The sequence below is a fragment of the Homo sapiens genome, chromosome 14 (genome assembly GCF_000001405.40).
Source record: "Homo sapiens chromosome 14, GRCh38.p14 Primary Assembly".
NCBI classification, from domain to species: domain Eukaryota; kingdom Metazoa; phylum Chordata; class Mammalia; order Primates; family Hominidae; genus Homo; species Homo sapiens.
Genome location: NC_000014.9, coordinates 54,580,974 through 54,605,995, shown reverse-complemented (window position 1 = coordinate 54,605,995; position 25,022 = coordinate 54,580,974). Strand labels below are relative to the sequence as shown.

The 25,022-nt window shown below is 38.6% G+C and overlaps 1 protein-coding gene and 1 long non-coding RNA gene across 17 annotated transcripts in view; both read right to left on the bottom strand.

Moving 5' to 3' along the window:
• Window positions 1–1,949, bottom strand: part of LOC112268133 (uncharacterized) — a 64,608-nt gene extending 62,659 nt beyond the window's left edge. The window contains exon 1 of the long non-coding RNA XR_002957606.2: window positions 1,557–1,949. This is a non-coding gene — a long non-coding RNA (uncharacterized LOC112268133). The remainder of the gene's footprint in view (window positions 1–1,556) is intronic.
• Window positions 1–25,022, bottom strand: part of SAMD4A (sterile alpha motif domain containing 4A) — a 228,000-nt gene that overhangs the window by 187,320 nt on the left and 15,658 nt on the right. The gene's annotated exons all lie outside the window — the stretch shown is intronic.

The window sequence follows — 25,022 nt, the reverse complement described above, 5'->3', positions numbered from 1 at the left end:
GTTTTATTCTAAGTTAGGCTCCAGTCTGTCTCTACCAGGGCAGTCAGAGGAATAAGGATAAATGTTGACTATTTAGCAAGCATGTTGTAAATATATGAGTTCCTCAAAATGTCTGTAATGGAAAGTGATCATTCCGTAAAATAATTTTTTAAGTCATACATATATATGGGCATGTTTATATATATACATATATATATATATAGGCATGTTTAATGCCCCAATGTTTTAAGAAAATACAGTTTTACACACAAATATGTTTATGACAACATTAATTACAATAGTTACATACCAAACAATGGAGCAATACAGAAATTATTATAGCCATTAAAATTATATTTATAAAAAAACAATGCCTTTGGCCATGAACTCAAACCTTTAGCAGGATGGGCATTTTGACAGGGCCTCCTGAGAATTGTCAGTTTAGGTATTCTCATCCCTGTGAGGTTTCCCTGCTCATTTTAAAATAACACAATTTGGTGGCTACTGAAAGTTTTCTACCCTTCCAAAACTTTGCTTTTCACCAAAGCACATATTTTTAAAAATATGTACATCCAATCTTGGCTCTTTGGAACTTCAGATGGCAACAAATAATTCACATCAGAAATCAAAGTGTAGTACTTCAATGCCCCAATCATGCACCCAGGAAATACTGCTACCTCAATCACATTTAATGTTGATGACTTAAAGATAGTTTCCATTAATTATGCTCTGCTGGGTTTTTTTTTTGCTTTCTCCAGGGCCTGAGTAGATTTTTGGTGCACAGGGAGCTTGCCTTCTGTACCAGATACTCAAGCTGACTGATCCTCATCCTGTGCTCAGGGAAGCTACCCCCGCTGTAATTGTCAAGTGAAACAGGGAAATTAACATCACGAACAACACTATTATTTTAAAGCAGGAAAACTAGCTTGTTAAAGATCAGTTTCCAAGCAGTAAGATTTAACTGTTCTTAAATCCAATATCAGACAGATTGGAAATCTGAAAGGAGTTTGAGCATAAGGTAAAAATGGCTGAGCCACTCTCACTTGGTATTCACTGATATAACTGCTCACAAATAAAACACTGCAATGCACAAATCCAATAAGTTAAAGCAGTCTAGAAATGCACATTAACAGAGACAGCTTCAAAGACACTGGTAATGTTCTGTTTTTTAGGCTGGGTGGTAGGCACAGGGGCATTCATCTTATTAATCTTTAACTATACATATTAATAAGTGTTATATACTCTTTTGTATGTATGATAGGTTTTATAATTTTAAAAAGATCAGAAGTGCAATAAAAACTCAAACTTTAAAAGTGCATATTAGATAGAACATAAATTTAAGACAGGGAGCCCTTTTTTCATTTAGGATTTATAAGCAACATGTATAAGCGTTCATAAATTTTCAGAACTACAAAAGATTGAAGATCATCTAATATAATGGTTTTCCAACGACGTCCCAGGAATAAAATTGTACGTTGCATAGACATGCCATCAACTCCTTATTCAGGGCTGTAAGTTTTCTTAGCACAGGAAGTTCATTTTGTATTGCGGAAGAGTGATCCTAAATCTCCCCTTACCTAATATCACCACTCCTGGTTCTTCCTTTCTTTCTTGATTCAAGAGCCTCTTCCCATCACCTGAATTGCTTCAATAAAGACACAGACTTAATTTGTGGTTCTTCAATAAATTCAAAGAGAAAGTTACAACGTGCATTGAAGAGACACATTCTTGTTAAAAGGCATTGTGGGAAGCCACCATTCTTGGTGGTGGATTCCAGCACCTTGAAACACCACAAACTGGAAGAGCAAGCAAGGAGCCAATGGCTAATTCTACCACAGACAACTATGCTCAGCAAGGGTGAGCTAAGGGAATTAAGGATACAATAAAATAATGGGGCCAAGCATGGTGGCTCACGCCTGTAATCCCAGCACTTTGGGAGGCCGAGGTGGGTGGATCATGAGGTCAAGAGCTCAAGACCATCCTGGCCAACGTGGAGAAACCCCGTCTCTACTAAAAATACAAAAATTAGCCGGGCATGGTGGCACACACCTGTAGTCCCAGCTACTCGGGAGGCTGAGGCAGGAAAATCGCTTGAACCCGGGAGGCAGAGGTTGCAGTCAGCCAAGATCGTGCCACTGCACTCCAGCCTGGAGACAGAGCGAGGACTCCATCTCAAAATAAATAAATAAACAAATAAACAAATAAACAAACAAACAAACAAATAAAATAATGGAAATACAAAAGTTCTTTTTTTTTTTTTTAAAGAAAAGGCCTTCTAGGATGCTGAATGCACCAAATGTAAAAGAACTATAAGTGTCCCTGGGAATGAATGACTCATGTACAGCAGTCTTGAATGGTCTAACTACTTATTCATAGAGCAATACAGAAACAGGACTCACTTGCTCAATCATTTCTTTGGCTATAGGCCAAATGCCTGTACAACCATTTAAAAAAATCAATTTCACAGGCTAACGGGCATGGTGGGAGCCAGAGCTATGCACACTGGACTCAGAACAGAACTGGGCAGCATCAGCTTTATAAGCTGATCAGTTCCTACTATCTTGAAGCAAGAGGTAGCTATTGTTGAGTCACTAGACAGCTCATTTAGGTCAGAGTTAAAATCCATATTCATAAAACTGCCTAAATTATACAGAGTCTACAGTATTTTCGGGTTTAATTATCTTTGGGCTAATAAAAAGTAAGATATAAATAAAATGGGGACATATTAAAATAGTTTTGTTTTTAAATAAATCATGAGATTCTCTATTCACTTTGTCTCAGCAACTGGAGACTACCAATACCCTTGATGGAAATGCTATGAGCTAAAGGAAAACCCAACAGTCTTAGATTATGTATCAGATGTGCATCTTGTGGCCCCAGTGTGTTCATGCCAAGTCACATGGTCCGCCTCGCTCCCCCATCCACCACTGGGGTGGGCACCTGAGTAAGGGGAACAACTCTATGAGTAACCAGAAACCTACACCAGTGTTCCTCAAACTCTAATGTGCAAACAAATCACCAGGGGGTTCTGTTAAAAGGTAGGCTGGGATTCAGTAGGTCTGCAGTGTGACCTGAGAAGCTGCATTTCCAAGAAGATCTCAGGTGATGTCCTTGATACTGGTCCCCAGTGTGCACTTGAAGTAACAAGGATCCAGACATTTAGCCTGACAGGCATGAACTGAGAGAGAATGTAAGAAGGCGAATGTCTTTTTTTTTTTTAATTATACTTTAAGTTCTAGGGTACATGTGCACAACGTGCAGGTTTGTTACATATGTATACATGTGCCGTGTTGGTGTGCTGCACCCATTAACTCATCATTTACATTAGGTATATCTCCTAATGCTATCCCTCCCCACTCCCCCCACCCCACAACAGGCCCCGGTGTGTGATGTCCCGAAGGTGAATGTCTTAAGTCTCCAAAGCTTCCCAATTCTAGCCCCAACAGGGCTGAGAAGGTTTCTGTCCATGGGGCTACTCATGTCATTCCCACAAGAACATTTTATATTCTTGCAATAAAGCTTCATCTCCTTAAGCTAGCTTGTACTAGTTTCTGTTCCACGCAACCAGAAGAGACTAGAACAGACAGGAAAGGAAGTATCTTCATCCCTGAAAGCCACTGTCTGTGCTATCCTGGTGTTTCGTGTGTGTGTGTGTGTGTGTGTGTGTGTGTGTGTGTGTGTGTGTGTGTGTGTATTTTAAAGCAGTCCTCTAGCAATGGAAAAATGCATTATTCTGGGTTGAAAATAAGGAAGCAGTCTATTGATATGCTTCTTCTTTGTACAGTGATTTCCCAGTTAATCCTAAGGAAATAATCCAGACTTGGAAAGATGTCCCAAGTAAAAGGGCATTGATTCCACAGTTATCTAATCCATGGCCAGCCAGTCCCACATTCCTCTTCTAAACCAGAAGCCTGTCTCTGGGTCTAGCCCAAGTGAGAGAAAAAAAGAAGTCTCTGGTACCAGGCGGATCCCAGGACCCTGCTGTTTCTGTCCTGCTTTCTCCTTTGTTTCTACATTGCTTCCCTCAATTTTCTCTCCAACATGGTTGCCAGATGCCTTCGGAGTTTTCTTCTTTCTCTAAGGACTTAGCACCATCAACTCACCCCAAAGTCTTTAAGTCAGTCTAGCCAGACTGTAGTTTTACAACTCTAATACCCATTATTAGTTCTTAGGATAGTGATGTAAGAGTGTCTGAGGGGTTAGAGTATTCTCTCCAAGTCATCAGCCTTGGTTTCTGCCTAAAACAGCAATTCTTTACACACAGACACAAGATTCAAATAAAACACACTTTATAAATTCCAACATTGGAGCCTCCACGGGAGGCCCTGGCTATGGAGTCCACTGTTTAACCGCAACAAATTCCACTAATTACTCTAATCCTGCCATTCCTAAGCCAGGTGATGGCCCTTTGATTTACATGAAGATAAAAATATTTGTACAATAGGCATCAAAACTTTAGGCTTTAAAATGTCGCTGGGTTTCTGTTGAGACTCATTCTTGTTTTTCATCCCCACCCAATATGAATGAATCAAAAAGGACAAAGGAGAAGTTCAGAAGGAAGCAGGAGACTAACACCAAAGATGAACCAATAATGTGACTGTGACAATAATATAAGTGATACCATTTTATTTATAATCTGGACTCTACCTACTTCCATAATGGATTTAAAATGGCTCAAAATAATCACAAGAGCAGGATAGTTGAAATAAAGAAAAAAAGAGCTAATCCACATGGAAGAAAGGGGAGGCAACTACCAGGAAACAGAGATGAGAGTTATTGTAATGAAGCACTAATTTTGGCTTCAAGCTTTAGGAAACCAAAGCTAAAAAGGAAACAGGATAGGTTATGAATTCTCAATTTCATAAATGAAATTGAAATGTGGAAGCAGATGGATTCGTCAGGAGGGACCATCCATTTTCTACTGCTGAGCTCGAAGAGGAATTTATGGCATAGTCCCCTCCATGAAATACTCTAAGAAACAAGGAATGGCAATTTCAGCTGAAGCCAGATGGCCATTTCTCCCTCTAATTGTTGGTAGAAGCCAAAACCCAGATACTGAAATGCAGCTCACTAAAGGCATAGCTATGCATAGCTGAGCTGATGTAGTCTAAGCATGCTGTTTGCTGGTGCTAATACGATAAAATGCTAGCTCTTGGAGAACCTGGAGTAATTCATGACTAACCCGCCCTGCAGATTATCTTCCCCAAGAAAGGATTAAGGTTGTTGGTGAACATTTCAATGTACTGTGTCAGTACTGTTGGCCAATGTTCTGTCAGAAAATCAAAGGATCCAGCCTCCTAGTAAAGGGGCTTTCACCTTCAACAATGGATCCTACCAACAAGACTCATATTATTTTTCAATAGCAAGCTCTCAATATGTTTTCCATCCTAAACAGTTACTTGGGAGATGGCAACTCAAAGTTCTGGACAACAAAGAAAACAATTTTAGTCTAGAAAATTGAGGGCAAAGGTTATCTGGTGGCTAACTCAATCACAAAGACACTGCAGTGTAGTTCCAGTAGAATAACAAATTCTGAAAGAAATTATATTCTGTTGACAGTTCACTGAATTCCAAGCAGCTGGGTCAATGGAAGCACTGGATGAACTTAATGAAGATTTGTTTTAGGAATAAATAGAAAAACAAAAACAGTAACAACAACAAAACCTTGGATAATGCCTTCCAAAGATGCTAATTTCAGGGGTGGGGCAGTTAATGGTGGAATATTATTTCTTAAGCAGCTGCCTCACCAGACTGCCTGGGTTTATGACAGTGACATGCTCAGGAGAAGGTGCCTGGTTTTCGTTTGCTCTGGCAGAACCAGGCATGTAACTTGCCCCCAAACAGAAAAGGACATTTAGCTATAATTTAAAAAGAAGAAAGAAAGGCCAGGACACAGCTTTGCTTCCTGAATTCTAAAACTGAAATTTGATCTGCCAAAAGGTTGTCATTACTCACTCCAGCCTGGCAGTAGGAAATGATGTGGTACAAGGTTTGGAGTAGAATTAAAAGTAGGATTAATGATCTGGGTGTATACAGGAATACATGTCTCTTCTCTCCAGGATCCAAGACTACAAATCTATAAACTCTCTCGAAATTTTTATTTCAGATGAAGAGATCTCAGTGTTTTAAGAAGAAAAGAGGAACAGAGGTTTAAGAGGATGTCTACCCAATTGATTGACCTGTAATATGAAGAATAATCAGAGGGAACTACACCACAAAAACTTCGGAATAGTGTTGCTCTTGCTACCAATGATATCAGCTTATCCGTGTAACATTTTAGTTTACAAAGTACTTTATATTTTCACCTATGCTATTGTCTCGTAATTCTGACAATAGTCCTGTGAATAGTGGTGCTGTCTCCACTAAATGGATGAGAAGATTAAGACAAGTCAATTGACCTGTCCAAGATCACAGAGCTAGACAAACAGCCATGCCAAAATTGAAACTCAGGTCTTCTAACTCCAAATCCTTCATCATAGATATTAGGGTCCATTTCTTTTGATGCAATTGAAGCAGTATAATATTTTTTAAAATCTCATAGGGCAGAGAAAAAATATTTCTTATGAAAAATTTGTGGACCTCGGGTATCCTACCTAGAGTTTAAAAAGAAAAAATAAGGTGCTCAGGTTACTTATAATGGATCGCACCCACAGATAAAAAGTTGTCAGTTTCTGTCAACGCCTAAGAGGTTGCCTTTATGTTGGGTTATATATAATCTTTTTTTAGTCCTCATTTCTTTAAATCGTGTTTATTACTCCATATATAGGGCAATTTGACAACAGGAATTAAAGGTCTCAAAAACAGGTATAATATTTGGGAATGTCTATCAAAAATTTAAATGTGCATTATCCCAGCAATTCTTCTCTTGGGAAATTTTTGCTAAAGAAATAAGGACAGGGCCAGGTGCACTGGCTCATGCCTGTAATCCTAGCACTTTGGGAGGCCGAGGTGGGAGGATCGCTTGAGCCCAGGAGTTCAAGACCAGCCTGGGCAACATGGTGACACCATGTCTCTACAAAAATACAAAAATTAGTTGGGTGTGGTGGTACATGCCTGTAATCCCAGCTACTTAGGAGGCTGAGGTAGGAGGATCACTTGAACCTGGTAGACTGAGGCTGCAGTGAGCTGAAATCACACCACTGTACTCCAGCCTGGGCGACAGAGTGAGACCCTGTACAAGAGAGTGGATGGAAGGGGAGGGGAGGGGAGGGGAGAGGGAACAGAAATGTAAATAACACACGTTCCCGATAGTGGTGTTTATACCACTAAATAACAGATTGTCTATTTTGTTTTCTTTGTCTTTATTTTCTGACTTTTGTTTTTTGCTGTGAGCTTATGTTTCCTTTAAAACCAGAAAAATACAGCAATTTTTAAAAGGGGTGAGAGAGAGGAATAGTAACTTTTGACACAGCAAATCTACTTTTTCCTAAGGAAGAGTCCAATGAGTGTTTTAAAATATGTGTACAAAAGAAGTGCATTACAATATGTTATAATAGTGAAAAGTTGGGACAAAACTAAATTCTTTAATCATAATAATATCTACCAAGTATGATGTGTTCATAGGATTAGCTATTACACAGTTATTAAAAATGTGATGCTTGCTTTTATTATTAAGATAAAGGCAGCCAATTATAAAATAGGATGCATACAGTATTACCTCATTGTGTATTTGCATGTAACTACATGTATATATTTGTAGAGGAAAAAGATTTAGAAGGCCAGGGCAATATGGGATTAGCTTGGTGGACAGTATAACATAACAGCTATGTTACGCAAGGACCCACAAACACACTGCCTAAGTTTGAACGCTGACTGTGTCATTTTCTAGATATTTAATCAGAACCATGTTAACCGTGTTTGTGTCTCAGTTTTCACATTATTTATCTATGTAAAACCTTCTAGTTAGTCTAACAAATGCTCAGACTGTGTCCCCAACAAGATTAGTCTCCCTGTCTCTTTCTTCCCTTTGTAGAGAAGTGCATCTTCCAAGACAGAACTCACTCTCTTTCTAAATTAGCATGACTCATCTGTCCTTCCTTCTCTAAACTGCTTTATGGAGACCAAGGATTATAAACTCAGATGTCTATCAGGACCAGGCAGAAGCAATGTGTGCTTAAGACCACAACAGGGGGCCAGTGTGATGGCTCATGCCTGTAATCCCAGCATTTTGGAAGACTGAGGCGGGCAGTTTGCTTGAGCCCAGGAGTTCGAGACCTGGGCAATATGGCAAAATCCTGTCTCTATTAAAAAAATACAAAAATTAGCCAGGCATGGTGGCATATGCCTATAGTCCCAGCTACTCTGGAGGCTGAAATGGGAGGATCGCTTGAACCTGGGAGGTCGAGGCTGCAGTGAGCCATGATCATGCCACTGCACTCCAGCCTGGGCAACAGGGTGAAACTCTGTCTCAAAAAAAAAAAAAAAAAAAAAAAGATAGAAGGAAAGGCCGGGTGCGGTGGCTCACACTGTAATCCCAGCACTTTGGAAGGCCAAGGTGGGCGATCACCTGAGATCAGGAGTTCAAGACCAGCCTGACCAACATGGAGAAACCCTGTCTCTACCAAAAAATACAAAATTAGCCAAGTGTGGTGGCGCATGCCTGTAATCCCAGCTACTCAGGAGGCTGAGGCAAGAGAATCACTTGAACCCGGGAGGCAGAGGTTGTGGTGAGCCGAGATCATGCCATTGCACTCCAGCCTAGGCAATAAGAGCAAAACTCCATCTCAAAAAAAAAGAAAAAAGAAAAGAAAAAGAAAAAGACCACAACAGAGAGATAGAGAGATGTGGGGATTGAGGCAAACTGAAGCATGCCTACCTAACAGGACAGCTCCTACACGCTAAGCAGATTGTACCCACATAGGAATGCATATTTGGTGCTGCCAAATCTTCCATTTTTCAAAAAAAAAAAAAAAGAAACTCAGATTTTGAGGTGTCACTCCCCAAAGCTAATACAGATATATGGTGTTTTGTTTGTTTTCTTTTTCAATAAAATGCAATGGGCATGAAACAAAACACTTCTGCATGGGGCTCCCTTTCATAAGATCTGATTTAGAGGTCTGGCTACAAGCAACAGAATCCTCAGGAAGGCTATGAACAGAGAAGGCTACCTTTCAGAACCTGAAGCTTTTCTCTCCCGGCTGGATATTCTGCATTTACCCCCTCCCCCACCAAGAACCACTCTCCACCCTTCTCACCCTGATGTGTGCCCTGGGAGGCTGCCCCTTCAGACTACATCTCGTGGTTCCCTGGGGTTCATTTGGGTCCTCCAATGGGATTGCCAGCAGGACCCTGAGGAGAGAAAGGCTGGGGCATCTCCCCGTCGGCTCCCTCCCTGGCAGAGTGCTTTGTCAGTGGCTGTGATCTTCTGCCTAAGGCGTCAGCTCCTAGGAGAGAAGGCCCTTCCTATAGTTCTTTCCTTGTTTTCTTTTTTTTGAGACGCAGTCTCACTATATCACCCAGGCTAGAGTGCAGTGGCATGATCTCGGCTCACTGTAACCTGTGCCTCCCAGGTTCAAGCGATTCCCCTGCCTCAGCTTCCCGAGTAGCTGGGATTACAGGCACGCACCACCATGCCTGGCTAATTTTTGTATTTTTAGTAGAGACAGGGTTTCACCATGTTGGGCAGGCTGGTCTCGAACTCCTGACCTCAGGTGATCCACCTGCCTCGGCCTCTCAAAGTGCTGGGATTACAGGCATGAGCCACTGCGCCCGGCCCCTTTCCTTGTTTCTTTAGGACTAGGAGTGGTGATGGCGTTCTTCTGTTGTTATTTCTGGTATGCTTTGCCAACTCGTGTTGATTTCCCTGAATCCTGCCTACATCTTTGTTAGTAGCTCCATTATTTAGGTCTCCTCAATTACCTCCTTTGAGAATACCACCTCTTTCCTGCCAGGACCTGACGGGTACTCTTCCCACGCCACATACCATTATCTAGTTACCACACTAAATTGACAAGACCAAGATCCTTCTCTACCAGACCTGGGAGTCTAATTCCACAGAGGAAGAGATCCACTAGTGAGGCCACTTCAATTCTATTTTTTCTAGGTTGAAAAGATACTATTTCTTGAATCTTTCATGAACTCTAATTTCCAAATCACAGTTCTGAATTACTAAGATCCTTAGACTATCAGTCCCACTCTGGAACAGTTAAAATGAAAAGCAAAAAACTAGTATCATCCCATTAAAAATACAATTTGGAAATCATGTATGCTCCATGGGACAAAGATCTTTTTCTTACACTTTCCTAAAATGCCCACATAAGAATGTTAATAATTTTTCACAATTTTTGAATGAGAACTGTCACTTAAATATGTTATATTGAAGCTTTTCCTCTCAGTTAACCCCATTCAACACTTTTAGTACCCTGCTTAATCCAAGTATCTAAATATCTAAGTATCGTAAACTAAAAATCTGCATTAAGAGGGACACTAGAGTGAACCTCCTCCCCTCCGAAGGCTGTTCCTTGGTTCCTTGTATTGTAGTTAGGAGTGTAAGGACATTAGTCTGCCTTACTAGATTTTTTTAGTTCGTTTAATCATTTATTCAACATATATATACATACAGTATATATTTTTTATATATTATAATAATATATATATAAATAAACACATGTATACATATATATATATGGCACCAGCCCTGTACCCATTTTGACTCTGCCGCTATGAAGATAAGAGGACTCTGACCTCAAGGAATTCAACATGTATGTGATTGTATACTTATAAGATAGTAAGATAAAACTCTAGTGAAGATGTGCTCAAATGTGAGAAGAAAATCACTGAGATTTGCTAAGACAGTCTGTAGAGTGAACTAAAATGGCTATACCTGAGAAGTGACCTTTGTGTTGGGAAATGAAAGCTGAGAGAGATGTCGTCAGATGGAAGAGAGGAAGGTATTCCAGATGAATGGAAAAGCATTTGCGACACACCAAAGAACGACAGGGGCAAGTTTTATAAGTTTGTACTCTTAATATTCATGGCACAGAGTAGGTATTTTTTCAATGAATGAATAAAATGGGATTTCACATTGCAAAAATGTCATTGTCTTCATTATTTAAAGTCCTGTTAGGGTAGCAATATAATTAATCATTCATGGTTGGCCCTAAACTGGAAATAGACCTTGTAAGATGTATTATTTGAAGTGGCTCCAAAATCAAAAGAAAAAAGTGTTAATGTCAGCCATGCATATTTCCGTCACTTAAATTCCAATGCAAAAATTATGCACCAATAAGTTGCTGATATGTTAGTATGTCTGAGACTAGTTTAATATTTTAAATTCATTCATGATTTAGTCATCTTGTAGTAGTGACTGTTTTAATGTGTTCCCAAGGGAAAAAGTACAACCACCAATTAAATCTGATTCAGTGATAAAAATTTAACCTCTGAATACTAATAAAAATTTGGGCTTTTACACCTCCCTTTTCTTAAGCTTTCCCTTCCACTACAATTTCCATATCCAACAAGTTCTGTCCTGCTGTTTGTACTTATCATCTTACTTCTAGCCAGGAGAAACTGCATGTGGTCTGTATACTTCAAAGGTCTGAACATGCTCTGATTATCTAATTAACACTTGCAATTTTAAAAGTAGCTTTTTTTTTTTGAGACAGTCTCATGCTGTCACCCAGACTGGAGTGTAGTGGCATGATCATGGCTCACTGCAGCCTTGATCTCCTGGGCTCAAGCAATCCTCCTACCTTGACCTCCCAAAGTGCTGCAATTACAGGCATAAGCTATCACACTCAGCCAAAGAGTGGCATTTTCGTTCTGTACCTTATGCAGATAATATACACTTAATAGGCAGAAAGAAAACCAAGAAGAGCATAAACAGAGCTGTTAACAGTGTTCATTTAGTGGGGAGGTCTGTGGTTATGGAAGACTTTTACTTTCTATGTTATCTACCTCTATTATAAATTTATGAAAATGTACTTTTTTTTTAATAGCAATCATGTTTTACTTCTGCAACAGAAGAAACAAAGACATTTTCTTAGAGTAGGTAGGTAGGCACATGAGTCATCTTCCTGTATATGATCTGGTCTGAAAATTTCAACAAATACTACAGAAGAAATCCCATCAGAACTAGGACAACAGCACTCCTTCCTTCCTTTTCACAAGGCACCAGTAATACCACCGCTCTGATTCTCCCCCACTTGGCTCATCCTCCCATGCCTCTCTCCTGGCCAGACCTAAGAAGACCATCTCTCCCCACTGCCTGAGAATGCACCTCCTTAAAAGAGGAGCTGCTGGGTGTTTTTAATACCAAATATACTTATCAAAATATACATTTAAATCAGCTTGAGGAAAACACTCATACATATTGGTTTCAAGTGCACTTTTAGCTTAGTGACTATTCCAGCCTTTAGAGGGGGGCCATTTTTCAATCAAAATTAAGCGAAACTAAGCATTTGTAAAATCATTTTCCATAGGGTAAAGATGATAATTTACAGGATTTCATTTCTCCTGAAATCATCTCCTCTTTCCTTCTTGTATTTGCCCCTAAATCACCTAGAAAGTAAATATCATCTTCTTACATTGCCAGTTTTCAGTTTTATCTAAAAAATGAATAGAAAAACCTGTTGTTGTAATTCACTGAGACCCATTCTGGCTAACACAAGAAATAGTTGATGGATGGAGAAAAGAAAATGACAAATAAACCAGCCACAGATATGAAATACAATAAAAACCCCAGAATACGAAACTAATAGTAATCAAGAATTACTTAATGATGAAGAAATTAATTAGGTTCTCCAGGAAGGAAGAATAGTAATTGTGACCAGAAGAACAAAAACATAAGCATCTATAATTATAGAAAACTAGAAATCATCTAAATTTTCAGTAACAGAGAAATGGTTAAATAACATATATATTATCCAAACAATGAATGGCATGCATCCATTACAAATAGCACATTCAGAATGGCAGAATGCTGATAATTACTGAAGCTGAATGTTGGGTATTTAGGGGTTTATTATATCATTCTATTTTTTCTATGTCTAAAATTTTCCATAAAACATGTTTTCTAAGACTATTTAGTGACATTGGAAAATGCTCATAATATAACATTAAATGAAATGTGAAGGAAAAGCAAAATACAAACTGTATAAAGTACTTGATTCCTACATTGTTAAAAACACGCATAAACATAAAGATGACGGCCTAGAAGGAAATGTTCTAAAATAAGAGGCAATGCGTGGCTCTGGGTGGCAGGATCAATGATGATGATTTTCTTCTTTTACTTCTCTGTATTTAAAAATGTGTTAACAATGGCCGGGTGCGGTGGCTCACGCCTGTAATCCCAGCACTTTGGGAGGCCAAGACAGGGGGATCACGAGGTCAGGAGATCGAGACCATCCTGGCTAACATGGTGAAACCCCATCTCTACTAAAAATACAAAAAATTAGCCAGGCGTGGTAGCGGCCACCTGTAGTCCCAGCTACTTGGGAGGCTGAGGCAGGAGAATGGCGTGAACCCGGGAGGCAGAGCTTGCAGTGAGCCGAGATCGCACCACTGCACTCCAGCCTGGGCGACAGAGCGAGACTTGGTATCAAAAAACAAAAAAAGAAAAAAAATGTGTTAACAATGCAAATGTTTCACTTCGGTAATAAGCAAAATGATAGACAGGAAAGGATACATATTTGGGGAAGGAAAGAGGAGAAGAAAGTGTAGCATGTGTGTGAGCTTGCCAGATGCAAAGTGTTTGTAGACACTGCATGGGATGAAAAGAAGACTAAGACAAGTTTACCACAGGAAAGGAGCTTACAAACCATTTGAGGAGACAACTTAAACATAAGGTACTCAATGCTACCAGAATGTAGATAAGTGTTGAAGGAGTTCTTACAATTGCTAGGGTAGTTCAAAAAAATAGAAAGTCACAGAGCTATGGTGGTCAAGGAAGAATAAACGATGACCTCGCTCAGCTGCCAGGGAACAGGGCTCTGACGGATGGGTGGGATGCACATGGGGAGGGGGAAGAGGGGGGAGCTTTGAGGAGGAAGGGCAGTTTAAGCTTAAGGCACGCACACATGGAGGAAAAGGGAAAAAGGCACACAAAGCAAGTCACTTTGACTGAAACAGGGCTCATGGAGAAGAGTGGTGAGACATATGGCTGCAAAACTAGGTTAGAGAGAAGGCTTTCAACCCCATCAGACTCCAGGCCCCCTCTGCAATCCTGAAATGAGAAATCACAGACAATATAACCTAATCTGCATATAATTTTAATAAATCAATGCTATGACCTAGTTGCAATATAAAGGAGAAATAAAAGGGAAAGAACTTATAATGATACAATATACACTACACTATGTAAATGTCCAGGCACAGGAGCTGTAGAAAACACAATGAGGTAGTCAGCTTCTTGCCCCTAGGCTACAATCACCATGAATGGGGCAGCTACACATGCTGACTGATACGCCAATTTCAAAACCACAAGTAATGATGCCAACATGGGAAACAACTCCTGGTAAAGTCTCAAAAAAAACAAAACAAAAAAAAAAAAACAAAATACAGGATTCCCTCCATTTAAATTGTGCAAAAAATACCTTTTGCTTATAGAGATCATTTAGGCTCTGATGACTACCAATAAATTTTTTATTTCTCTGTTGCCTGGCAGGCATTTGAAAGTCAAATGGGATGTGGAGCAATTGCCCTGTACATTGCCTGATTTCTAGCACCCTTGGCACCACCCACTAAATGCCAATGGCAAACCACCCCCTAATACTGTGAAAACCACGAATACATCCACAAATTTCTAAAGTACCCCTAGAGGCTAGGAATACCCTTGCTGAGAACCCCAGGGATAGAGCTAGAGTCAGCATTTCTCACTAGGGGCACCACCATCATTCTGGGCAGGACAGCTTCTCTTGTGGACAACTATCTCATGTATCGCACGACGTACCCCTATCATTCTGTGCTAAAAGCCAATCACGGTGACAGCCAGAAAAATAGCCCCTCATTCATCCTCTTTGCATGCTACCTCTGAGAGACGATGACCAAGATCTTGGAAGGCTTGAGTGACAAGCTGCTTCAGCAATTGAGGGGAAAAGTCTGAGATAAGAAACTCTGATTTTAAAAACTTTTAAATTCCTCTATGATGCAGCTCTCAGAAAACTAAGCTTCAGTATTATGTGATTATTAAAGCAGAAAAAGAAAACTATAATAAAAGCACCCTTGAACATTTACTAACATTTGACTATTTCTCAAACCCTAAGGTGGCCTTTGGCTACTTCTGAAAAAAGCTAGGTGCTGGAAAGCATGCTACCTGGTAGTCTGGGGAATACACAGCTCATGTGTGGAGCACATCTGGGTTTTTATGCCACTCATGGGAAGGTCATGAAAAGAATGCAATGTCACTCCCTAGAAGGACTCAGCACAGCTGACAGAGAGACTACCACCAGCTAGGAGAGGAGAAGAGAGGAGAGGAGAGGGAGGGATTCAAAGACACTCAGGAAAGAGAAAAGGGAAGATAAAGCTGCCTACACAGCATCTTCCCACCTTTTATAACCTAGGCTCTTCTTAAATATTCCATTTATTTTTTGAGACAGGGCCTCACTCTGTCACTCAGGCTGGAGTTCAGTGGCACAATCTTGGCTCACTGCAGCCTCGACCTCCTGGGCTCAGGCGATCCTCCCACCTCAGCCTCTCAAGTAGCTGCGGCTACAGGCACACACCACCATGCCCAGCAAATTTTGTTTTGTTTTCCGTAGAGATGAAGTCTCACGATTTTGCCCAGGCTGGTCTTGAACTCCTGGGCTCAAGCAATCCTCCTATGTTGGCCTCCCAAAATGCTGGGGTTACAGGCGTGAACCATGAGAACTTTCTGTCCTTTCCCCTGCTTTATTTTTCTTATAGCACTTTTCACCATTGACAGTGCCAGACACATCACAAGCATGCAAATATTCAGTGAATTAACTCATTCAACAAATATTTATTGTGTGCCTGCTATATCCCACAAACTATTTTTTTATGCTAGAGAAAAAGCAGTCAACAAAATCGACAGCACCCTCATCTCATGGACCTTACGTTCTAGCATACGGTTTGGATGATAAACAGATATGTAATGTAATATGCCATGTGGTAATAAACAGCATGAATAAAATAATTCAGGGCAAGAGGTTTAGAGAGATGGTTGGGAAGGCTTTTCTGAGAAGGAGACATATAAGCAGAGACCTGAAGGATGTGAAGTAAACCATGCAGACATTGAGGCAGTCGATCAGAGGGAACTCCTGCCTTATATGAAAATTAAAGTAAAGATATCATGATTAACAAATCATGCAAGATAAATCAGGGCAATGGACTTTGCTTTCAAACTAGGGAAGGGACTGTGTCTTGTATACAGCTGGACTCTCAACCTCTAACACAGTATATGTTCTTTTGAAAAACATGTTCCGAATAGGCACAAAATAAAAATTAGTGAATGAATGAATGAGTGAATAACACAAGCCACCTTTTTCCCTCCCCAAAAGACATACGTGCTTCCCACACAGAGAATCACTGGCTCTAGTGGATGTTAATATCAATAGGCTTATTACATAATTTTGCTCATAGTTGAGTCTTGCTACTTATATTGCTAACATAAACTTGAGGCAGAATGGTCCAAAAAAAATCAACATGGAAAATCCAACCAAAATATCTATACCACACATGGCCATAAAATTTAGACTCATGGGAGTAAAAACATGAGGCTTTTTGACCCAGTAGGTGTCTGTGAATCAGAGAACTATCATCTTTGAATAACCCATGGCAGTCACTGTTTCCATCCTCATCTCCAGTCATTCCTGATAGATGAGCGTGTAAATTACTCCATCTTCAGAAAATTTCACCCACAATGAATCGTTTATCCATTGTAACTCTTGTCCCACCTCTAATGTGTCTTAAGTTGAAATAAAATAGACCAAAATCCAAATGTAAAACTTTCTAAGATAAGGGTGCTAATTTGAGCTCTTTGATATACTGTTTAAACAGACAATGCAAGTACGAAAATGTTATAATTCTTAATATATACGTTGTATACATTTTAATAACTTAAAACTCTTCTGAGAGGATTAAACTAAAATTGAGCAGTTCCTCTTCCTTCCTTCTGTTAAACTTAACAATACCATCCAAGGGAAGAAAATACACTTCTAATAGAAACATCATTTGCTCTTAAAAATCCTTTTCCTGTCAATAGACTGCATAAAAATGTAAACTTCCAAACATCAAATATACAAAATGGGGGGAAATCCATATATATGACAAAGAGTGCTAATAAATTAATAAGAAAAAACAAATGTTCTCATGGAAAAGGAGACAGAAGAAAAAATAAAAACTACTAGACCATAAATATATGAAAAAGTATCACCAAAGAAATGTATCTGAAAATAATGACAGCCTCTTCAATCAACAAGGGTTTCTTTTGTTTGTTTTTAACAATATCCATTGTAGAAAAGAGTGTACAAAAAAAATACTTAAATGTTCACAGGAGCACTCATTGGCCCAATCTTTCAGAAGGATGTCATGGTTAGCATTAAATGCCTACATCAAAAAGTCTGAAAGAGCACAAATGGACAATCTAAGGGCACACCTCATGGAACTGGAGAAACAAGAACAATCCAAACCCAAACCCAGCAGAAAAAAAGAAATAACAAATATCAGAGCAGAACTAAATAAAATTAAAACAACAACAAAAAAAAAATACAAAAGATAAATGAAACAAAAAGCTGGTTCTTTGAAAAGATAAATAAAATTGATAGACCATTAGCGAGATTAACCAAGAAGAGAGAGGATCCAAATAAGCTCAATTAGAAATGAAACAGGAGATAATACAACTGATACCACAGAAATAATAAAAGACTATTCAAGGTTATGAACACCTTTACAGGCTTAAACTAGAAAACCTAGAGGAGACAGATAAATTCCTGGAAACATACAACCCTCCTAGATTAAACCAGGAAGACACAGAATCTCTGAACAGACCAATAACAAGCAGCGAGATTGAAATGGTAATTTTAAAAATTGCCAACAAAAAAAAAGTCCAGGACGAGACAGGTTCACAGCTGAATTCTATCAGGCATTCAAAGAATTGGTACCAATCCTATTGACACTATTCCAAAAGATAGAGAAAGAGGGAATCCTCCCTAATCATTCTATGAAGCCAGTATCACCCTAATACTAAAACCAGGGAAAGGCATAACAAAAAAAGAAAACTACAGACCAATATCCCTGATGAACATAGACGCAAAAATCCTCAACAAAATACTAGCGAACCAAATCCAACAGCATATCAAAAAGATAATCTACCATAATCAAGCGGGTTTCATATCAGGGATGCAGGGATGATTTAACATATGTAAGTCCATAAATGTGATATACCACATAAGCAGAATTAAAAACAAAAATCACATGATCATCTCAATAGATGCAGAAACAGCATTTGACAAAATCCAGCATCCCTTTATGATTAAAACCCTCAGCAAAATTGGCATAGAAGCCACAGCCAACATTATACTGAATGGAGAAAAGCTGAAGCATTCCCCTTGAGAACTGGAACATGACGAGGATACCCACTTTCACCACTTCTATTCAACATAGTACTGGAAGTCCCAGCTGGAGCAATCAAACAAGAGAAAGACATCAGGGCATCAAAATCAGTAAAGAGGAAGTCAAACTGTCACTGTTTGCTGATGATATGATTGTATACCTAGAAAACCCTAAAGACTCATCCAAAAAGCTCCTAGAACTAGTAAATGAATTCAGCAAAGTTTCAAGATACAAAATTAATGTACACAGATCAGTAGTTCTGCTATACACCAACAGCAATCAAGCTGAGAATCAAATCGAGAACTCAACCCCTTTCACAATAGCTGCAAACAAAATAAAATGCTTAGGAATATACCTAACCAAGGACATGAAAGATCCCTATAAGGAAAACTACAAAACACTGCTGAAAGAAATCATAGATGATGCAAACAAATGGAAACACATCCCATTCTCATGGATAGGTAGAATCAATATTATGAAAATGACCATACTGCCAAAAGCAATCTATAAATTCAATGCAATTCCCATCAAAATACCACCATCGTTCTTCACAGAATCAGAAAAAAAATCCAAAAATTCATATGGAACCAAAAAAGAGCCCACATAGCCAAAGCAAAACTAAGCAAAAAGAATCACAAATCTGGAGGAATCACATTACCTGACTTCAAACTATACTACAAGGCCATAGTCACAAAAACAGCATGGTACTGGTATAAAAATAGGCACTAGACCAATGGAACAAAATAGAGAACCCAGAAATAAAGCCAAATACTTACAGCCAACTGATCTTCGACAAAGCAAACAAAAACAAAAAGTGGGAAAAGGACACCCTATTCAACAAATGGTGCTGGGATAATTGGCAAGCCACATGTAGAAAAACGAAACTGGATCCTCATCTCTCACCTTATACAAAAATCAACTCAAGATGGATCAAAGACAAATATAAGACGTGAAACCATAAAAATTCTAGAAGATAACATTGGAAAAACCCTTCTAGATATTGGCTTAGGTAAAGACGTCATGATCAAGAACCCAAAAGCAAATGCAGCAAAAACAAAGATAAATAGATGGGACTTAATTAAACTAAAAAGCTTCTGCACAGCAAAAGAAATAATCAGCAGAGTAAACAGATAACCCACAGAGTGGGAGAAAATTTTCACAATCTATACATCCAACAAAGGACTAATTTGCAGAATCTATAAAGAATTCAAACAACTCAGCAAGAAGAAAACAAACAATCCCATCAAAAAGTGGGCTAAGGACATGAATTCTCAAAAGAAGATATACAAATGGCCAACAAGCATATGGAAAAATGCTCAACATCACTAATTACCAGGGAAGTGCAAAGCAAAACCACAATGCGATACCATCTCACTCCTGCAAGAATGGCCATAATAAAAAAATAAAAACAGATATTGGCGGGGATGTGGTGAAAAGGGAACACTTTTACACTGTCGGTGGGAATGTAAACTAGTACAATCACTATGAAAAACAGTGTTCAGGTGCCTTAAAGAACGAAAAGTAGATCTACCATTTGATCTGGCAATCTCTGGGTAGGTATCTACCCAGAGAAAAAGAAGTCATTATAGGAAAAAGATACTTGCACACGCATGTTTGTAGCAGCACAATTTGCAATGGCAAAAATATGGAACGAGCCCAAATGCTCATCTATCAATGAGTGAATAAAGAAAATGTGATATATACGTCATGAAATACTACTCAGCCATGAAAATGAACTAAATAATGGCATTTGTAGCAACCTGGATGGAACTGGAGACTATTATTCTACGTGAAGTAATGCAGGAATGGAAAACCAAACATCCTATGTTCTCACTCATATGTGGGAGTTACGCTATGTGAATGCAAAGACATAAGAATGATATAATGGACTTTGGGGACTCGGGGGAAGGAGTGGGGATGGTGAGGGATAAAAGAGTACTCACTGGGTGAAGTGTGCACTGCTCAGGTGATGGGTACACCAAAATCTCAGAAATCACCACTAAAGAACTTATTCATGTGACCAAATACCATTTGTTCCCCAAAAACCTACTGAAATAAAAAAATTTAAAAAATTTTTAAAAAGAATGATGTCATGGTTAACATATTACATATGCTAATTTTTAAAGAAGCGTGATCCAGAAACTACACTTACAGGCATATAACCTGAGGTCAAATCTGTGCTTTAAAGGATGTTTACCACAGCATTGTAAGAAACTGGAAATAACCTAAATGTCCAAGTGTAAGGGTTTGGTTTAATAAATTATGGCACAGCCATACTATAGAATGCTACACGGTCATTTAAAATACTGTCATAAAAGAGTTTATGATGGTGCATTAAAATATTAATGACAGTTTAAGTTTAAAAGGCAGTTTAGATATTTTTTTCACCAAATGGCATATATGTAGAGATACATACCACTGTACAGTATGTCAAATGGACCTAATTTTGTATATTTGTGTAAGAAAAATTTGTGTATGGTAGAAGACACTAAATATAGCCAACAAAATGAAAAATAGGATTATAGGTGTTATTTATGTAACTTTTTCTTTTTTAAATCTTTCTACAATAGAAATATAATTCTTCTAAGAACATTGTCTTTTTAAAAACTCTTCTACCTGCTTTGCTAGAACCTGATTTGGACAATTTGATAAATTTTTTCAGGCACAAGAGAAAGTATACTTAATAAAATAGATTTCTCAGAAATAGCCTACGTGTCAAATTCTATTTCATCCATTTAATGCTTCTAAATCTTTATGCTATAATCTAGCATAAACTTAGGTAAGAACATTTATTTTAATCAGAAAACATGTTAACAATTGTGTTGCCAAGCAATGCGGTAAAGGGCAGGAACTGAAAGATCGTCTATTTCAAGTAATTAAATCACATTTAATATTAAATAATAACCCAAACATAATTGTCTAGTTTATTCCATTGAACAAATTTTATTTTGTGTGCCTACTGTGTGTTAAGCACTGTACTGATGGTTAACTTGACAGAGTCTTCTTTAATGCTTTGGATTTGAGATCAAAGAAAATTCAAGTCTAAGGGGTTAATCTGAACAGTTGTCCCTAAATCTAAAGCCTAGTAGAACAGCAACTCCTCTGATAGAAATTCCTCTGATGCATAAAAAAGACGCTGATGTTTTATGCCTCAGCTGCTATGTCTTATCTGCAAAGCTCTCCTACTCCTGCACATGCAAGACACTCCATCCTCAACCCAAACCTCAACACTGAAATGCAGTGTGCCAAAAATGAAGTCAGTCTGGCACATAATTATAATTCCAAAGGTAAAATAATGCAATGCTTTATTTGAATCAAATTTCAGTGAAAGCAACCCAACTAAAGCCACCTGTTACATGTATAGAACCATCTTTTAGCAGTTCAGCAACAAAAAACTAGAAATATTTATTCTTTATGAAATTGCTCAAAGGTCACTTTTAAAGAGAAGGTTATCTATGGGACAGCTGGCAATAGACTAGCTGTATTTAAAGACTCTACACCTGCATTTTAGAAGGCACCGGTAATTGAGAACATTGTAATGTACTATTACTACACTGGTGGAGAAAATTAATGAAAAATATTACTAGGTGTATAATTCTTAAAAGCATTACATTTGATAATTTAACTGTGAAAACCAAAATCATTTAAATTCTAAAAAATACTATTTGCCTGAACAGTCTGCACACCTTTTCAAAAGGTTCATTAAATAATCCCAGTGTTACAAATAACCTCCTTAACCTCCTGTAACAACAGAATAGATTTTCAACAGCTGTCAAAATAGATTCCAGTATCCATTCTATTCAAGTGTGTTAGAAGAAGATCTTAAAACTGTCAAGGAGTGTCAGAATGTGGGTAACTTAGTAAAAAATGTAACTGAGCTGATTCCGCCAACTACAGAGAAAAGAAGAAAGCTCAAATCAGCTCAAAGAAAAAGATCAATCAAAGGGAGAAGGATAAGGAGATCATATCCAACTACAGGTAATGTCCCAACTCCATGCTCAGATAAAAAGGGTTTTCTCTAATAGAAGACTGCACAACAGAATTCTGAAGAGGCACCATTCATTCCACATAACAGATGAACACCTCCTACAGGCCACCCTGCTGCTTCTCGGGGCACTGCTAATTCAGGACAAGGTTGCCAGACTCAGCAAATACAACTATAGGACCCCTAGTTACATTTGAATTGCAAATACACCATGAATAACTTTCTAGTATATGTGGTATAAGTATGCCCCATTCGCAGTTCAAATTTAGCTGGGGTTCCTGTAATTTCTTTGGCAACCCTACGTGAGGGAGATAAAGCACAGCCCCTTCCTCCTGGAGCCAATGTTCCAGTGCAGGATTTCTTAAAAGGTAAAAAATTTATCTTTTTATCCCGTCTCTACTAAAATACAAAAAATTAGCCAGGCATGGTAGCACACGCCTGTAGCCCCAGCTACTCGGGAGGCTGAGGCAGGGGAATCACTTGAACCCAGGAGGCGGAGGTTGCAGTGGGCCGAGATTGCGCCACTGCACTCCAGCCTGGTGACAAAGAGAGACTCTGTCTCAAAAAAGAAAAAAAACATCTTTTAAGCTATACAAAAGTTAAATTAGCAGCACACTTTACTCTCATAAACTTTTCACCAAGATTGACCAATTCTTAATTTTTGTCACCTTATATATAAACATTTGAGAATAAGCTGCAGTAAGTCCTCATCCCTAAAAGACTTCTGCATGCGTCTCCTAATAAGGACATTTCCTGGTGTGACCAAGGTACAATTATAACAGAAGGAAATGTATAATTGATAACAGCATTATCCCCTAATACATAGACTACATTTAAATTTCACCAATTGTCCCAATACTGCCCTTTAGAGCCATGTTTTTTCCCAATCCAGGATCCAATCCAGAACTTCATGTGGCATTTAGCTATCATATTGCTGTAGATTCCTTCACTCTAGGGCATGCCGTCACCTCACCTAACATGGCAGTGTCAATCCAGTGTGCTAAATGCTGAGCTGGTGATGTGCAGATGCCGTGTGGGAGCTCAGGGGACGACGAGGCATCTTCTTCTTTGTCTTTGAGGCATCTTCTTTGTCCTCGCACAAACATATCTGCTCTGTTCAAGGACTGAATAACAGCTGATGGACGCCATTCGCCAGTTTAACTTGTGAAGTTCAACAAAATACCCAAGCACCTCCTATTTTAACTCTGGGCATCTTTCTCTCTCTCAATGAGAAGGTAGGAAAGTCTTTAAAAATAAAAAATAAAATTAAAAAAAAAACAGCAGCAGCAATTCTTGTCCAAATTATTCCTATCTAAAATGTTGTGAACTAAACATACATATGCCACAATTATTCCCATATAACCCACCAGCAGCTTAATATCAGAATCACACATGAGGCTCAAGTTTGACATTATAGCTCAGAATTTCAATATTTTAACTGTGCTCAGATCATCTGCAAATACCACAATAATCTGCAAAATGTGCTAACACAGCTCATTCTGCCACAAAAAGAAAATGTGAAAATAGGGAGGCTTTGTTAAAATAATAACAACAAAGAACAATGACAAGAAAGCCTTCTCTTTTTCCAACGAACGCTTGTTCAGTGAAAGGTAAAAGTGGAAATAATATTATAGAACAAAAAGCAAAGCATAATTATTTTCTTGTTTAGCTGAGGTATACCAAAAATACTCAAAGGTTTTGCACTGAATGGGTTTAAGTTTAGTAATTTTTATCTAGGTTTACCTCTTTAAAAACAGAATTTTAAAAAATTATCAGAAATTTTTAAATAATCCATACTATCAAAATAGGTATAGAATCCCTGTGGCATGCTTTGAATGGCTGCATGACCACTCATACTGGAATCTTTACAGGCAGGGATACAGAGGTCACAATACAACACTTTATGTGGCTTTCTCCAAAAGAAATTCTTTAGCATGGACACCTGAGTCCTTCATACTTGAAGAGAGTACATTTAATGATCTAATCAATGAAAAGGATGAAAGTGAATACAAACTTAACTTTGACGTTATAGACAGTCCAGCCTGTGGAAATCAGGGCCACAAGGCTTAAAGTCCCAATTGAATTGGATCATCGGATCCAAGCCTTAGTTCAGGCCCAGAGGGGCCTGGTGTTCACCAAGAGAACCATGTGTTTATTTCAGCTCTTGCTAACAGTGCAAAAGCTCTGAAAAAGAAACCATGGTCATCTTTTCCTGAACCTTTTAAAACCCACATTCCTGAATTTGTATCCCATTGTTTCAACTGGTACTTTGAGAATAATGTCGCTCTGCTTTTGTATAATACGATACAGTTTACAAAGTACTTTTACACATCCACAATCCTGGTAATAGCCTTGTGATTTCTGTAGTGGTAACTCCATTTCACAGATGAGGAAACTGAGGCTCAGAGAGCTTAAATAATTTTTACAAGGTAACATACTTTATGTGATGACACCAAGACCCTAACCCAGGTCTTCTGTAAGGGTCTGAGGGGAAACCAGCATCTATTTCCTCTGGCCTTTATCACATGTATCTTGGTAACAGCGTGAGGAT